Source organism: Homo sapiens, chromosome 19 (genome assembly GCF_000001405.40).
Source record: "Homo sapiens chromosome 19, GRCh38.p14 Primary Assembly".
In the NCBI taxonomy this organism is placed as follows: Eukaryota; Metazoa; Chordata; class Mammalia; order Primates; family Hominidae; genus Homo; species Homo sapiens.
Window position 1 is genome coordinate 15,448,421 of NC_000019.10, and position 16,125 is coordinate 15,464,545.

At 57.5% G+C, this 16,125-nt stretch overlaps 2 protein-coding genes and 1 non-coding gene across 28 annotated transcripts in view, besides 6 other annotated features; 1 reads left to right on the forward strand and 2 right to left on the reverse strand.

The window, feature by feature from the left end:
• WIZ (WIZ zinc finger) overlaps positions 1–1,536 on the reverse strand; it is a 29,979-nt gene extending 28,443 nt beyond the window's left edge. For 11 of the 14 annotated variants that reach the window (NM_021241.3, NM_001439249.1, XM_047439178.1 and 8 more), the window contains exon 1: positions 1,378–1,536. The gene's annotated coding sequence lies outside the window, so the exon portion shown is untranslated. Of the gene's footprint in view, positions 1–954; positions 1,195–1,377 lie in introns of those variants that run through there. The other 3 variants (NM_001439250.1, NM_001411129.1, XM_047439175.1) reach the window with 2 other exon arrangements.
• Positions 801–910: a silencer, noted in NCBI's record as "silent region_10280". NCBI's record gives its function as "represses an Ori minimal core promoter by ATAC-STARR-seq in GM12878 lymphoblastoid cells {active_cell/tissue: GM12878}" and the evidence as "EXISTENCE:reporter gene assay evidence [ECO:0000049][PMID:35858748]".
• Positions 1,128–1,188, forward strand: MIR1470 (microRNA 1470). The gene has a single exon (NR_031716.1). It is a non-coding gene; the product is annotated as a microRNA 1470 (primary transcript).
• Positions 1,261–1,380: a silencer, noted in NCBI's record as "silent region_10281". NCBI's record gives its function as "represses an Ori minimal core promoter by ATAC-STARR-seq in GM12878 lymphoblastoid cells {active_cell/tissue: GM12878}" and the evidence as "EXISTENCE:reporter gene assay evidence [ECO:0000049][PMID:35858748]".
• Positions 1,431–1,560: a silencer, noted in NCBI's record as "silent region_10282". NCBI's record gives its function as "represses an Ori minimal core promoter by ATAC-STARR-seq in GM12878 lymphoblastoid cells {active_cell/tissue: GM12878}" and the evidence as "EXISTENCE:reporter gene assay evidence [ECO:0000049][PMID:35858748]".
• Positions 3,204–16,124, reverse strand: RASAL3 (RAS protein activator like 3). 13 transcript variants are annotated; one of them, NR_174478.1, is made up of 18 exons: positions 16,085–16,124; positions 15,611–15,957; positions 13,051–13,187; positions 12,798–12,876; positions 12,640–12,701; positions 11,783–11,838; positions 10,109–10,235; positions 9,908–10,006; positions 8,872–9,414; positions 8,082–8,226; positions 7,713–7,828; positions 6,237–6,473; positions 5,941–6,142; positions 5,729–5,847; positions 4,687–5,077; positions 4,238–4,395; positions 3,625–3,688; positions 3,204–3,518 (listed from the first exon to the last, which is right to left on the reverse strand). NR_174478.1 is itself a non-coding variant. In XM_011528186.2 (18 exons), exons 2-18 carry the CDS (start codon positions 15,936–15,938, stop codon positions 3,375–3,377), a joined length of 3,027 nt encoding a protein of 1,008 aa, XP_011526488.1. In that variant the 5' UTR covers positions 15,939–15,957; positions 16,085–16,124; the 3' UTR covers positions 3,204–3,374. The 13 variants fall into 13 exon arrangements, 11 of the variants coding, with proteins under 11 accessions (XP_011526488.1, NP_001387307.1, NP_001387306.1 ...); XM_011528186.2 differs by having other exon boundaries at positions 6,237–6,511; positions 11,801–11,838; NM_001400378.1 differs by having other exon boundaries at positions 7,684–7,828; positions 11,801–11,838.
• Positions 3,966–4,035: an enhancer, noted in NCBI's record as "active region_14185". NCBI's record gives its function as "activates an Ori minimal core promoter by ATAC-STARR-seq in GM12878 lymphoblastoid cells {active_cell/tissue: GM12878}" and the evidence as "EXISTENCE:reporter gene assay evidence [ECO:0000049][PMID:35858748]".
• Positions 15,348–15,487: an enhancer, noted in NCBI's record as "active region_14186". NCBI's record gives its function as "activates an Ori minimal core promoter by ATAC-STARR-seq in GM12878 lymphoblastoid cells {active_cell/tissue: GM12878}" and the evidence as "EXISTENCE:reporter gene assay evidence [ECO:0000049][PMID:35858748]".
• Positions 15,588–15,717: an enhancer, noted in NCBI's record as "active region_14187". NCBI's record gives its function as "activates an Ori minimal core promoter by ATAC-STARR-seq in GM12878 lymphoblastoid cells {active_cell/tissue: GM12878}" and the evidence as "EXISTENCE:reporter gene assay evidence [ECO:0000049][PMID:35858748]".

Genomic DNA, 16,125 nt, shown 5'->3' on the forward strand with positions numbered 1-16,125 from the left:
CAGTTTCCCATCCCTCAAAACCTCAGTCCTCAACTTTGCAGCTCACTGCCTCAGTTTACCTCCCAGCCCAGGGGAGCTAATGGTGTTCAGACCTTTTCCACACACCTTCTATCCCAATGGCCCCTACCCTCAGCATGCCTCCGTCTCCCCATCAATAACTCCTCCCCTTTATACAGATCCTGCACTGCCTCAGTTTACCCATATTGACACATGCACACTCAGCCACCTGGTCTTCTTCCATCAATCTTACCATTTCTCCAGACGCCTCCCTTCATTCACACACAGCTGCACTTTCCCCAGTCCTGCCCTCACATCCATGCACACGCACATCCTACTGCCATGCCTTCGTTTCCTCGGCAAGAATCCCAGCCACTTGTACACTCTGATCCTATACACCGTCAGGAGTCTCCCATCATTACCCCTTTACTTTTCTCCATTGGGTTGTCCCATACCAATGATCCCTGCACTTTTCCCACACTCCAACCCTTCCCCCACACAGGACCTTAGGGTTCTCCAGCATTAACCCCTTCACCCCCCTCCACACACACAGCCTCAAGTGACCCCAGCATTAACCCTTTCGCTTCTCCCCAACATTATCCCTCATGCATACCCAGCTTGGGCTCCTCCATTCCCCCCACCCCCCAACCAAGATTGCTCTAGTCCTCGGGCGAAAGAAAACGATAGGGCTCCTGGTCCAGAAATGAGGACCCTGGGGAGCGGGGGTTGTCCTCTCTACCTATAAATACCTTCAAGGTAACGGCGGAAAGTGAAGGGCAGGAATGAGGCGCCCTCCCCAGGGAGATGGTGGGGAGGCCGGGCCCAGGCAACCGGGGCGGGGCCGGGGCGCCAGGCCTGGTTGCAGGCGCTGCCCTCGGGGGCCTGGGGATTCCCAGGGGGCTCCTCCGTGGGCTGGCAGTCTTGGTGGGGGTCCCTACCCAGGCCCGGAGGAAGCACCTGCGGTTGTCCACTGGGTGGGCACTGCCCGCGGGGAACGGGCGGGACCGCAACTTCGGAGCACTTTGGCAGCGTGGGGAGGGGGCTCCTACCCGGACGCCCCCCAGGGGTCGCAGAGGTGGGGGCTGCGCCGCGCGGGCCCACTCCTCGGGGGTCCAGGGTCCGGGGGATGAGCCCTCCGCCCGTGCACCCCGGGGCAGGAGACCCCGCGGGACGCGCCGAGGTAGGGGGGACACCTGCCCCAAGACCCCCGCCCCTCCCCCCACCTGCACGGCCCCGCCCCCGGCCAGGCCCCGCCCCTGAAGGCCCCGCCCCCGCCCCCGCCCCGGGGGGTCCCGCCTGGCCCGGCCCGGCCCGGGGCCTCCCCCGCCCCGCTACGGCTCCGCCCCACCCGCGGGCTCCCCAGGCCGGGCCGGGCCTCACCGGGGAGGCGGCGCCGCCGGCCAGGTGCCGGGGCTCGGAGCTCCCCTCCTTGGTGCGGCCGTCGCTGCCGCTACCGCCGCTGCCGCTCCCGGTGCCGGTGCCGCGGCCTCCGCAGCCGCCGCCGCCTCCACCGCTCGGGGGACATTGTCCCTTTAAATCGCTCCCCCCGCCGCCCCGCCCCCCCGGCGCGCCGCCGTGACCTCAGCGCGACAGCCCCGCCGCGCCGCCATGATGGGGAGGTCCGGGGCGCCCCCCCCACCCCACCCCCCCCCCCCTCGCCGCCCCGGGGGGGGCGGCCAGCGGGCGCGCCGCCATGTTGGGAGTGGCCAAGCGGGTCACCCTTAAAGGGCCCGCACGGCCTGAGTCCAGGGAGAGGCCCCGTTACCATGACAACACCCTTGTCGTCCCACACCCCAATGGCTCCTTATCGTCCCACTGGTACTTCCAATGGTAGGCTCGCTAAAAGCACTAAAAGAGTGGGGAGGGTGCAGAGAAGTTCCCCCATGGGTCATTGATGGGTCATTGATAGGTCATTGAAGACTCCACCCAGCCAATTTTTAGCCTTTTGTCCCCTGCCCCCCATCAGCTACCTTCCAACCACAAGCTCACTCCCTCCTTCCCAATCATCCACACTGGACTTCAGCACCTCCATGTCCCTAGAGTTGCCCTAGGTCTTCAGTCCTAAGTCACCTTCTCCACCCAGTTCCCAGGATCACAGCTTCCAGGACTACCCCATCAGACACACATCATGGCCTGTTGTCTTGTCTTATCCACCATGTATCCAGATATCTAACCACCTAGCTATCTCATCCACTTCCTCAATCTATCAATCACTCATCTACCTATCCAATGAACTAATCACCTATCCACCCACCCCTCCAACCACCTATTAATTCACCCAAACACCCACTCAACCCACCCATTCACTTCCCATCTACCCACCCATTCATCCAGCACCCAAGTAAATACTCATTTATCCATACAACCAAGCAAGTACCCAACCATCCCCACACACATCTTTCCGCCCAGCCCCCCAAACATCCATCCACCAGTTTGTCTGTTGATTTGGTCCCTCCACTAACATGTAAGTTCCATGAGGCCAGGAGTCCTGTCTAGTTCATTATTGTTTCTCCACTGCCCAGTTCTCAGGCGTCTCAGGAGACCTCAACATATGTACATATGATATATATAATCACAACATTGAAAAAAATTTTTTCTTACTATGAACCAGGCCTTTTCTAGGCAGACATACCCAACCTGGTTAACCAACTACCCAGCTACTCACCTACCAGGTCAAACATCCAGCAAATGCTAACCTATCCGTCTGCCGTTTGCTCCACCCACTCTACCCCTCACCCATCCACTCACCCATGATTTGAATGACTCATTTACCCAATCATTCATACACAGTATCCAACCATCTCCACACCTGACCCCCTTCCTTTATCCGCCTCCCAGACCCATGGCCTCCGTGACATGAGGAGGGCCTAGGAAGATGCTCTCACTGTGGGATTGGGAGGTTGCCAGGGGTGGAATCCATGCTTCATTGAGAAGCAGGTGCTGCCTATAACAATGGTGAATACCTTTTATCGAATGCCTTTAACTATGGGTCCTCTCACTGTGTAGGGAACTTTACGTCCATTTCACAGATAAGAAAACGGGCTCTTAAGAGAATGAAGGTCTAAGGTCACACAGCTGGTGAGAACTTGTGTACATGGCCCTCTCCATGAGACTTCTAATTAGGGGAGAATTTGGGAGAGATGAATAGGGCTTGCGGGGCAAATGCCTAAGAATTGGCAATTCTTAGTGGGCAAAGAAACCACCAATTTCACTGAAATCAAGATTTTACTGGGCAACTTCATACTGCCAGAGTGGTTGGGACCAGCAGCTCCACTCCCCACTGTAGGCCAAGTAGGGCTAAGGCAAAGTCAGACACCCCCCCTAAGATGGCTATCTCTCTGCTCCCAGACCACGTGTGATGAGGCAGGATGGGCAGCTCAGGTGGTGTCTCCATTGAGGCAGGGTGCTTTGAGGGGCTGGGGTTGACTCCAAGACCCCCGCGTCCTTGGAGAAAGCTGCAGGCTCTGGACAGCATCCCTCAGCTGAGCCTGAGTTCTCTCCATCTCATTTAGGCGGTGCTCCTGGGGAGGCAGTGGTGATGGGGTTCAGAAACCAGGAGAGGGCTGCACCGCAACCCTTGCTCCTCCACCGCCCAGACCTGCCCCAGGGCTCAGATGGCAATCTCACCAGGTTTTTCAGACTGTGCCCTTCATTGCTTGTTAGGTTGTGCTCTGAATCAAACTCTGAGCTCCTGTGGGGGTCGGGGGATTGGGGCGAAGGGCAGAGGCTAAGGAAGTCCCTTCCAGCTCCTGGTGGGAGTGCCAGGGACTCCGGGGGCGGAGCTTGGAGTGGAGGCGGAGCTTGTCCAGACTGAGGGGCGGGGCCTAAATATGCTTGAAGAAGGGTCGGACCAGAGACGGGAATGGTTGGAATGACAGGACCTATCAATCATCCCTTGGAGGTGGGGTTTGGCCAGTCCTGGGTGGGGTCGTGACTGAGCTGGAGGGAGTGCCCAGGCTGAGATATCTCAGTGCCCGGCCCAGCCAGGTTGGGAGGGGCTGATGGAGGGGTGGGGCCTGGATGAGAGAATCTGCCAGGGTCCTAGGCCGACCTTCGTTGGGTGGGTCCACCTGGGGGCGGGGCTTGCCAAGAGGCAGGGCCTGGACAGACTTATTGGGGCGGGGCCAGGGTGGGGCTTGGCCGTGCTAGGCGTGGTTTGGGGGGGGGGGGGAGGGCCTGGTCAGATCTAATTGGATCGGGCCCACCTGGGGGCGGAGCTAATGGAGAGGGCTGGGCTCACCCAGCACGGAGCCTGGAGTCCAGATCCTGCAGCTGGCCCCGCAGCTGCTCCTGCTGCTCCGTCAAGGCCCGGATTTGGGTGCTCAGCGACTCCACGAGGCGGGACAGCACTTTCTGCTCCTCACGCAGAGCGGCCACCTCGCACTGCAGCTCTGCCAACTGTGGTGGGAGAGCAGCTGTAATCTGACCCGTTGTCCCGCCCCTGTGTCTCCCCGGAGACCCTGACCTCCCAGGCCCAAGCGCTCAGCGTCATCACCGGCCTGCCTAGTTGGGGAACATCCCTCCTGCGGTACAGCTGGGGAGACTGAAGCTCAGAGAGGGTCGGGCTAGGCCTGGGGTCACACAGCACAGCGAGCTGGGTACTTGAACCCAGACTTGCCTGGCCCTTCAGTCTTCCCCAGTCGCGTCCCTGTTCCCACTCCCCAGGCGCGGACCTGGGCCTGACCTTACCTTGTTCACAGGTCGGTGCGTGCCCAGTGCCTGGTTTCGGTCTTGCGGCTGGTCCATTTGGCGCTGCCAGGGTACCGACGGCTTCCGAGGCAGCGAGGCGGAGTCCCGGGTCCAAGGCCGGGCGCGGGGCGCTGGTCCCATGCTCAGGGAGCCTTTGGGTCGCGGCCAGGGCCCCGCAGATTGGCGGCGGCGGGCAGGACGCCGGACCGGGACACTCTGCGTGCGCTGCACCGGCCGGGGCCGCCGCAGGGGCCGCTCTTCGTCCGGCCGTGGCCGGGCCCAACTCTCTGAGCGGCGAACGCTGCGCAGAGACTGGCTCTTGGAGATGAGAGGGGTGTGCTTGGGGAGGTCCCGGGGGGCCAGGAAGCCGGGCTTCTCCCCTGCGGAGAGGCTAGGGGTGGGATGGAGGATCTTAGACCCTCCACTGGCCCCTGAGACGACCCCATCCCGACCTGACCAGAAGTGACCTCACCCCCCACGTGAACTTGTCCTTTCTTTTTTTTTTTTGAGACAAGGTCTTGCTCTGTCGCCCAGGCTGGAGTGCAGTGGCTAGATCATAGCTCACTGCAGCCTTGAATTCTGGAGCTCAAGCTATTCCCCAGCCTCAGCCTCCCAAATATCTAGGACTACCAGCACATGCCACTATACCCAGGTAATTTTTTTTTTTTTTGGTAGAGATGGGGTCTCCCTATGTTGCCCAGGCTTGTCTTAAGTTCCTGGCCTCAAGTGATCCTCCTGCCTCAGCCTCCCAAAGTGCTGGGATTACAGGCATGAGCCACTGAGCCTGGCTCCTGTCCTTGACTTCTGACTATAATACTGTCCTCTCTATGACCCTTGACATCTCTCCACCCTAACCTCTCCTCTCATCCCCGACCTCAAACACACTGTGACCTTTGACCCAACCCTTTCTATAACCTGTGATTCCCGTCTGACCCTGGGCTTGACCTCTGCTCACAATGATCCAACTTCACCTCTGACCCCTGTCTGAGCCCTGCTCCTTCCTGTTCCCACCCATCAGACCCCAGACCAGACTTGAGGTTACCTGGAGTGGACCTGGGCCGGGGGCAGTGGGAGACGCATTGGCACTGACACAAGCACAGGCTGGCCCTCCTCAATGGCTCGCAGGATGGTGGGCAGTGGTTCCAGGGTGTCTCGGGTTGTCTGGTGAGGCATGCAGGACAGAGACTGAGCAAAGTCTCCAGGGTCAGAGTCTCCCAAGCCTTCTTGCCTCCCTACTCTGGGTTCAGGCCATACCTGGTCAAGCTCAGCAAAAATTGTACAGAGCTGGGCATGCAGGACAGCTAACTGGAGGGCCAGATCACCACTGCCCTGGTAACCACTGGGGGCAGCATCCACATCCACCATGGCTACCTGGTCCAGGAAGCATTGCATGGCTGGTCCATGTTCCTCCAGGAAGCTATTCATGAAGCCCATGTAGGCCTCCTTCTCACCGAACCTGGATCAGGGCCAGGCTGGGTGGGTCAGGTCAGGCACCTGCCACCCCCACACTCCCAGCATGGTCCCCCCACCCCTAGCTTCCCAGCACCTACGGGGCACGGTTGGCGAGGTTCTGGATGACCTTGGCAATCAGTGTGAGGGTGCGGGCTGGGCCGGGTGCTGGATGGTCTGGTGCCAAACCAAAGAGGCTGGGTGCCAGGATGGCAGGGCACAGGAGCCGCAGGAAGAGGGAGGCGCACACCAGTCGGGGGCCCAGCACCTCAGAGCCACGTTCTTTACATGCTTCTCGCCAGCTTGAGAACACGATGCCCAGCTCCGCAGGGAACCAGCTGGTGCAGAAGAGGCAATGAATGGTCAGACGGGGAGGCTATGGGCATAAAGGTTAAAGTCATAAGGTTGGGAGTCCCAGAAGCACTGCATGATTGGTCCATGATCCTCCAGAGAGCTATTCATGAAGCCCATGCAGGCTTCCTTCTCACTGAACCTGGGGTCTGGGCTCTAGGATTGGGAATATCTGAGATAACAATGCTTGGGGTTATGAATCAGCATGGGGCCATGGCTTATGGTGTAGCTATGGCAATCGCTGGGGATAATACTCTTATAGTTGGGGATACAGGGTCACATGAAGACAGAGGTTATGAGCTTGGATGTACTTATAATTAGACATGAGACTGGTGGGCCAGAGTACAAGATATAAAGTAGGATTGGGGCTCTGGAGGTCACCTAGGGTCAGAAGTCACTTGATTGAAGTCAGGGATTAGGTATGCAGGTTAACCTAGGGTCAGAGGTCAAGGGATTGGAATCCCAGGTCTCCTGTGATCAGTTGCATGGGATTTGAGGTGGAGGGTCACTTAAAGCCAGGGATCATGGACTTGGGGCATCATCTGGTCATAGGATTGAGGTCCTATGTTAACTGGAGCCAGTGGCATGAAATTGGGGATATGGAATCAACTGTGGTTACAGGACAAGGAATTGGGTCTCAGGTTACTTGGGGTCAGTGGTGATAGGGTTGCATGGTGATAGGGTTGCCAGATGCAGCAAACGAAACTTCAGGACATCCAGTTAAACATGAATTTCAGATAACGGAGTGATTTTTATTTATATTTTTACTTTTATTTGGGACAGGGTCTCTGTCAACCAGGCTGGGGTGCTGTGGCATGATCATAGCTCACTGCAGCCTTGAATCCTGCGCTCAAGCGATCCTCCAGCCTCGGCTGGGAATACAGGTGTGTGCCACCATGCCTAGCTCATTTTTAAAAAGCTTTTTGGAGAGATGGAGTCTTGCTATGTTGCCCAGACTGGCCTTGAACTCCTGGGCTCAAGCAATCCTCTTGTCTCGGCCTCCTAAAGCATTGGGATTACGGGCGTGAGTCACCATGCCTGGTTCAAATGAGTAATTTTTTAGTATAAGCATGGTCCCAATTATTGCATCAAATTTAACTGAGTGTCTCCTGTATTTTATCTGGCCACCCTAAACTGGAGGTCGGGGCTAGCATGGTAAGCAGGGGTGGGCTAAGCTGCTGGGGCCCTGATTCTCACTCGTAGGAATGGATAATGGTTTCGAAGACCTCCTCGCAGCTGTTCCGAAGTCTGGCCTGGTGCTCTGGCAGCTCCGAGGCTGGACATTTGCTGGGGTCCACTTCACAGTCCTCAGTAGAAGCACAGAGACGCCGCACAACCTGTCCTGCAGCCCAGCACAGCCAGATAGGGGCTGGGGCCATGACCACCAAAACCTGCCACACCCATCCTCCAACCTTGTCTTCAGGTTATTCCGGAGGCACCCAACATCTTGGGGAGCTCCCAATTGTCCCCAGGATCCTAGCACCCCCAAAACACCACTCACTACCAGAATCCAGGTTGCTCAAGGACTCTTAGAACTTCACCCAGGTCCCCTAGCTCACCAGCAGGCCGCTGACATGGACTCTCCCCCAGCTCACCCAGGGTCTCCTGGAGGTAATCCTGTGCCACGAGCTTCATGTACTCATCGATAGCCTTGGTGGCCAATGTGTTTTCCCGGAACAGCAGCGCCTCACGGCCTCCACAGCGCGCCAGCTCCGCAGTGCCCAGGTCAGTCACCAGCGCCTAGGAAGGGCAGGAGGTCAGGTTGCACCAGATGCAGACAGAGTCCAAGGGAATTCGGATCCTTGGCTGGTCCCTCACACCAGAGGCACAGGCCCCGCCCCTTGTAGCTGATGCTTAGGCCCAGTCCTTACTGCTGGGGCTCATAACCGAGGCCGGAACCTCTAACCCTCACAGCAGAAATTTAAGCCTTTCAGCGCTGAGGTGCAACCTGGGCCCCGCCCCTCACGCGTGATGCTCAGGCCCCTGTCGCAGCTGAAGCTTAGGCTCCGCTCTTCAAGGTGTCCCGCCCCTTATGGGTGATAATTAGGCCCCGCCCCTCACAGCTGAAGCTCAGGCCCAGTCCTTCAAGGTGCCCCGCCCCTTACAGGTGCAGCTCAGCCCCAGCCCCTCACAGCTGACGCTCAGGTCCCGCCCTTCAAGGTGCCCCGCCCCTTACGGGTGATGTTCAGGCCCCGCCCTTCTAGGTGCCCCGCCCTTCTAGGTGCCCCGCCGCTTACAGGTGACACTTGGACCACGCCCCTCACACCCCTTCAAGGTGTCTCCCCCATTACAGGTGCAACTCAGGTCCTGCGCCCCAACTCCTGCCCGAAGCGCGTTATCGGTCTACCCCTGGTAGCCCCGGTCCGCGCTGTCGCGGTGCCGCACCTGCGCCCGGCCGGTGGCCCGCAGCACGCGCACCATGGCTGCCGCCAGCTCCTCCTTGGCCTGCGCAGGCAGCGCGGGCTCCAGGGCCCCGCAGAGGCGCGCATAGTGGAAGGTGAGGAACTCCGCCAGCTCCTTGTAGCGCTCGGACGGCAGCACGCGCAGGCGACGCGCCCGAATCCGCGCCCGCAGCGCTGCGCCCGCCGGCGCCCCGAGCAGCGGGAACCAGCGCTCCAGACCGGCGGCAGGCGCGCGTGGGGCGTCCAGCTCCTCCAGCGCCAGGGCCACGCGGCCCAGCACCGCGCTTCCCGGGCCCAAGCCGCGCAGCCGCAGCGACAGGCGACGTGCCGGTGGCAGCGCCTCGAAGTGGAAGCGCTCGGCCCAGAAGAGCTGGCCTGGGCCGGCCCGAGGCGCCGTGCGTGCCAGCAGCGCGCCATCCAGCCACAGCTCGGCGCGCACGCCGGGTGCCCCCGCCGCTGCTCGGGGAAGCCCCTTCGCTTCGTGCACCCACACGCTCAGCCATGTCTCTTCCCGCTCCACGTTGTCCTGCAGATGGGAGTGGGATGGGGGGAAGCGTTTTGGTTTGTTGGCACCCCAAAGAAGGCACCGCAAGTGAAGCGTGGAGCCTCAAACCTGTTGCGTCGGGTCCCTAGGGAGATTGCTGGGCCTTTGGGGAAAGAAGTGGAGCCACGGGAGTCCGGAGGCGGTTACGCGGAAGTCTTCTAGCTTTTCTGGGCTCTCCGGGAGAGTTGGGGGCTCCAGGGCATACAAGAGTAGTACTGGAGTAAAGACTTCGCGATTGCCTGGCAGGCAGGGCTTTGGGTGCATATGGGGCCGGGAGTGGACAGAAGGGGCGGGTCTGATATTCCCGGGGCTGGTAATAGATGGAAGGGGAGTCTTGGAGCCGTTGCAACGATGCAGGCGGGGCAGGTGTGTTGGGGGCGCGGGTTATGGAGCGAGCTGGCTTTGGGTAGAGTGGAAGGGGCGGGCCAGGCCTGTGGGCGGGGTCTCCGTGTCCCGCTTTTCTGAGGGCAATGACCTGGGTGGGCTGGAATTGGCGACGAAGGTCCTCGATCCAGCGGTCTCTCTCAGCGGCCGAGCGACAAGAGAAGCAGCGGCTTCCACCCGTCCAGGTTACCTGTTGGGATGGAGAATCCAACGGTGTGATCGAGGCCAAGGGTGAAGCCAAAGGGTGGGAGGTGGGACTGAGGTGGAATCGAGGTGGACTGTCTACACTTACCTGAAAGCAGTGGGGCTCCCCCAGGAGGCTGGGGTGCAGTGGCCAGATCCGCACATCCCGCTCGGCACCCAGGTCCAGTTCAGAGAGTGTGGCCAGCGACTCCCTAGAGCCCAGAGCACTGGGGGGTCTGGGAAGGGGGTGGGTGAGCACACCGTCATTCCTGCCTCTTCCCCATCCCCCATAGCCTGAAGGGTAGAGGAAGGCCAGGAAGGACTTCAACCCAATTCGGATCCCGTTTCTCCCCCGTGCCCCCCCCACCCCCCGCCATGGCACCTCCTTGCTTTTAGGATAAACTCAACTCCTGGTGACCTACATGACCAAGCTGGGTCCAGATGTTGTCACCTCATCTCCCTCCACCTAATCCATCACTTTCTGAGCTCCAGCCTCCCTGGCCTTGTTTTATTTTATCCTATTTATTTATTTATTTATTTATTTGAGACAGAGTCTTGTTTAGTGCGGTGGCTGGATCTCAGCTCACTGCAACCTCTGCCTTCCAGGTTCAAGTGATTTTCCTTCCTCAGCCTCCCAAGTAGCTGGGATCACAGGTGCCCACCACCATGCCTGGCTAATTTTCTAATTTTTATATTTTTAGTAGAGGTGGGGTTTCACCATGTTGGCCAGGCTGGTCTTGAACTCCTGATCCCAAGTGATCCACCCGCCTCAGCCTCACCAAAGTGTGGGATTACAGGTGTGAGCCACCGTGCCCAGCCCTATTTATTTATTTATTTATTTATTGAGATGGAGTCTTGCCCTTTTGCCCAGGCAGGAGTGCAGTGGCACAATCTTGGCTCACTGCAATGTCCACCTCCCAGGTTTAAGCGATTCTTCTGCCTCAGCCTCCTGAGTAACTGGGATTACAGGCATTCGCCACCATGCCTGGCTAATTTTGTATTTTAAGTAGAGATGGGATTTCACCACGTTGGCCAGGCTGGTCTTGAACTCCTGACCTCAAATGTTCCACCTGCCTCTGCCTCCCAAACTGTGGGATTACAGGTGTGAGCCACCGCACCCAGCCCTATTTATTTTTGAGACACAATCTTGCTCTGTTGCCCAGGCTGGAGTGCAGTGGCATGATCTCTGTGCACTGCAGCCTCAACTTCCCAGGCTCAAGCAATCCTCCCACTCAGCCTCCCCAGTAGGTGGGACTACAGGTGCCCGCCACCATGCCTAGCTAATTTTTGTATTTTTTGTAGAAATGGGGTCTCACTATGTTGCCCAGGCTGGTCTCGAACTCCTAGACTCAAGCAGTCTGCCCACTTTGGCCTCCCAAAGTGCTGGGAGCCACTTCACCCAGCCCTCTTGGCCTTGTTTTAGTTGCTTCTTTCGGCCTCTTGGCCTTTGCACTTGTTGTTCCTTCTGCCTGGAATGCTTTTTCCACCCCCCTGTTGGCCTAGTTAACTTCCATCCACCCTTCAGATCTCAGCTCAAGGGTACCTTCCCTAACCCTCCCAGACCAGTTGATTGACTTAGCTCCCATTTTAGAGTTATTGTGTCAGACTTTGCCCCCACCCTGGCTCTGTGCTAGATCATTCAATGTCCCCAGCATCAACTGATGTGGGGCAGAACACAGAGGCCACAGGGGGTGTTTGGTGTAGATTGGAATGATATGCAGGAGGTGGAGGAGGAGGGGCCAGTGTTGAACCCCAGCCCCTCCAGCCTCTCATACACCCTTACCCATCCCGGGGCTCCAACCTGGCCTTTTTCTTCTCTTTCAGCCTCTTGAGCAACCCCTGTGGGGAAGGGAATGTCAGCTGGACAGAAATCTGTGCTCCTTCCTCAGCTCCTTCCCTCCCAAGACATCCCAGAGGATCTACTGGTCTTGGAGGACCAACACCAAGCTCAGGCTGTATTAGCAGGAATAATAAGAGCAATCAGCAGCTCCTAATTCTTTGTTCATTTGTTTTTTTAAGACAGGGTCTCGTGCTGTCGCCCAGGCTGGAGTACAGTGGTGCGATCATGGCTCACTGCAGCCTCAAATTTCTGGGCTCAAGTGATCCTCTTGCCTCAGCTGGGACTACAGGTGAATGTTACCATGTAGAATTGGGGACTTGCTATGTTGCCCAGGCTGGTCTTGAACTCCTGGTCTCAAGCAATCCTTCTGCTTCAGCCTCCCAAAATGTTGGGATTACAGGTGTGAACCACTGTGCCTGGCCCAAACTCCCATTTGTAAAGCATCAATCATATATTCTCCTATACTATTCATTTATTTATTTAAGAGATGAAGTCTCCCCATGTTGCTTAGGCTGGTGTTGAACTCCTGGCCTCAAGCAGTGCTCTCTGCTCAGCCTCCCGAGTAGCTTGGACTATAGCTGCGCACTGCCCTGCCTGGCTCCTGCACTCTCTATTGGCTTCCCATAAACAACCCCTAGAGAAAGGTTATTTCATTAGCTTCATTTGACAGACTGGGACTCTGAGGCCCAAAGAGGGTCAGCAACCTGCTCCAGATCACCCAGCAAGAGTGCCCTTTCAGCTTTGAGGGTCCGAGAGTCTTGGCTCTCCCCTCTACCTCCCACCTTCACTGGCTGCCTTACCCGAACGTTGTGGACCTGGTTGGGACCAGCAGTCTCCGGTTCTGTTTTTCCAGGCATCCGATCTGTGGGTCGTTATGGGTGGCAGGTTGGGGGGTTGGATTCTGCCCCACTTTTAGAGCCTCCCAAATGCCCCAGGCCTTTCCACCCCTCAAGCTTACCTGGATCCCTGAAGTTCCCCATGGCCACGTGGATGCTGCCCTCGGAGCTAGCACTTCCCACCCGGGGCCTTCGAGGACCCTGTTCTCCCGCAGGAGTGGGTAGTCAGAGAGGGGAGGCAGGCAGGCAGGCAGGCAGGCAGACCGAGGGAGAGGCAGACACCTTCCCATTATCCTCCCTCCAGCCCCTGCCTCTGTTCTGCCCTCCTCCTTTTTCTTTCTTCCCTCCTCCCCTTTCCCAGGTGCCCCCTCTCACCTCCTCCTCTCCTCCAAGCAGCACCAGCTTCCCATCAAGCAGGGTGAAGCCCCCAATGTCCCAGACAGGCACGTTGGGTGTGGGGGCCTCAGGGATCTGTGGGGTAGGGGGCTCCAGCTCTGGCTCCGGCTCCAGCTCTGGGAAGAAGAGGAGGCACTGGGGGACTTAAGAGACGTTTTCTCTCCCTCAGGCTACCCTTTCCATTCCCGAAGGCTCATGGTGGGTTCCCTCCTAGGTGCCCCCCACCCCAGCAGCCGTATCAGACTGTATGACCTTGGGCAAGCTTTCATCGCTGTCTGGGCCTTGTCCCCACTAACCATGGGTAGCAGACACAACTCACCTACCATGTGCCCAGTACCCTGTATACCACTCCACACACCTTCTTGCATTGAATCCTCCAAAAGCCATTCAAAGGGCTATGATAACAGGCTCAGAGAGGTTGAGTGACTTGCTCAGGGTCACACAGTTTGTGAGTGGTTGGGCTGGGCTTCAGTCACAAGCATTCTTCTCTCTCTCTCTTTTTTTGTTTTTTTGTTTTTTTTGCATTCTTCTCTTAACCAAGACATTATGTGGGTCCAAGAGGTTAAAAAACAGGACAGGGGCTGGGCAAGGTGGCTCATGCCTGTAATCCCAACATTTGGGAGGCCGAGGTGGGGCAGATTGCTTGAGACCAGGAGTTTGAGACCAGCCTGGGCAACATAACAAGACCCTGTCTTTAAAAAATAGCCTGATGTGCCTGGGCTCTGTGGCTCACACCTGTAATCCTAGCACTTTGGGAGGCCTAGGCGGGTGGATCATCTGAGGCTGGGAGTTCAAAACCAGCCTGACCAACATGGAGAAACCCCGTCTCTACTAAAAATACAAAATTAGCCAGGCGTGGTGGCACATGCCTGTAATCCCAGTTACTCAGGAGGCTGAGGCAGGAGAATCTCTTGAACTTGGGAGGCAGAGGTTGCAGTGAGCTGAGATTCCGCCACTGCACTCCAGCCTGGGCAAGGAAGTGAGACTGTGTCTCAAAACAAAAACAAAAACAAAAACAAAATGGGAATATAAGCAGTGAGAATTAAATGAGCTTCCAGGAAATAGGAGGGCTGAATTAGCCCTCCCAGATTGCCTGTCTGTTCCCTTGTTTTTACCACCAGGAGCAATAAATGATAACTCCCGCTTATTAACGGATCACTTAAAATATGTTGGGCCTGGGGCCGGGCGCGGTGGCTCACGCCTGTAATCCCAGCACTTTGGGAGGCTGAGGCGGGCGGATCATGAGGTCAGGAGATCGAGACCATTCTGGTTAACACAGTGAAACCCTGTCTCTACTAGAAATACAACAATTAGCTGGGCATGGTGGCGGGTTCCTGTAGTCCCAGCTGCTCAGGAGGCTGAGGCAGGAGAATGGCGTGAACCCAGGAGGCGGAGCTTGCGGTGAGCCGAGATCGCGCCACTGCACTCCAGCCTGGGCAACAGAGCGAGACTCCATCTCAAAAAAAAAATAAAAAAAATGCTGGGCCCTAGGCTAGTGTTACATTCCTGAGCCCTAATTCTTGTGATATCCATTACTCTTCTAGATCCCCCTGTGTGACACTTAGCACCATCTGTCATTTTTTTTCTTTCTTTTTTTTTTTTTTCTTCCATTGAGATGGAGTCTCCCTCTGTCGCCCAGGCGGGAGTGCAGTAGTGCAATCTCAGCTCACTGCAACCTCCACCTCCCGGGTTCAAGCGATTATCCTGCCTCAGCCTCCTGAGTAGCTGGGAGTACAGGTATGTGCCACCATGCCTAGATACTTTTTTTTTTTTGTATTTTTAGTAGAAACAGGGTTTTGCCATGTTGGCCAGGCTGGTCTCGAACTCCTGAGCTCAGGTGATCCACCCACCTTGGCCTCCCAAAGTGCTGGGATTACAGGTGTGAGCCATCATGCCTGGCCCATCTGTCATTTTCTTGTTGATGGATTTCCTGTCAATTCCACTACACTGTGAGCTCCATGGGGCAGGGAGGGTCATCTGTCTCTTTCACTAGTGTGTCCTCAGTGCCTAAATCAGGGCCTGGCACATACAATAGAAGCTCAACAAACCTCTGCTTGAATAAATGAATGAATATGAGCAAATAAAATTATATACTCTCCAAAATGGAGATCATTATTCTCACTGAACTGATGGAGAGGCTGAGGCTTAAGGGCTCAGAACAAAGACACGGAAGCTAGAAGGTAGGAGAGTAGGAGGCAGGCTGAAGATGGATATCCAGGTAGGAAAGGATGGGCCTGAGCCATTGAAGGAGAGACCCGTTGGGGCCAAGAGCCGTTTAGCCTCTGGACAATACTATCACGGGTTTACATTCACTGTTCCTTCCTCAGATGGACCCTCTGCCCACAGGACCCCGGCAACTCCTCCTACCCTCTTTAGGGGGAAAGAGGGAACAGGGTAGCTGGGCCCCAGCGGCTTCCTGCTGGGCTTTTGCACTCCCCACAACTTCCTGTGTCTGTATGGTTGATGCTCCGGAGGCAGACAAAACCCAAGCATCCGGCTTCCCAGCCCGGCCCAAGCTCAGGGTGGGGGAACCATGTACCTGGGGCCTCCTGCTCCGGCTCCGGGTCTGGCTCCGGCGGTGGGTTCTTATGCCTCCCCCAGAGGGCCTTGGAGAGTCGAAGGCGACTGGTCCGTGACTCCTTGGGAGGCGCAGATAGGACCCGACGGAATATCGAGCGAGGGGCTGGCTGGGTGCTGACCATGGGCTCCTGGTGGCTCAGGGCCCTGCCCCAGCCAGCAAAGCGGCCCCAGCGGAACCCTCCAGCCGCCTTCTCCCCACCGCCCCCTGTGTGCCAGCGGTAGGAAGTCAGCGGAGAGGTGGCTGTGGGCTGGGTTTGGGAGGTCCGGCTTGGCGACGGTGGGTCCATGGTTGGGGGGGGGGGTCTCCTGGGGGACGAGAGAGTGACAGTAGTGCCCAGTGTCTGTCCACATACTGCCCTCATCTCGGCCCCCTCCCCACCCTCAGCTCTGCCTCCAGGAATCCCCCTGCCCCCACCTCCACTCCCTCCCTTACCTTGGTTTCCTGACCAGCCCCAGAATCAGCAGCCGTCTGCA

Coding starts and splice junctions, on each gene's coding strand:
- RASAL3 (NM_001400377.1), bottom strand. CDS start 15,938: ATGGACCCACCGTCGCCAAGCCGGACCTCCCAAACCCAGCCCACAGCC. Junction 5,848..5,940: donor TTTTTGCTGAGCTTGACCAG/GTATGGCCTGAA, acceptor ATGCCTCACCAG/ACAACCCGAGACACCCTGGA. Junction 5,078..5,728: donor CCGGCCCAGGTCCACTCCAG/GTAACCTCAAGT, acceptor TCCCACCCCTAG/CCTCTCCGCAGGGGAGAAGC.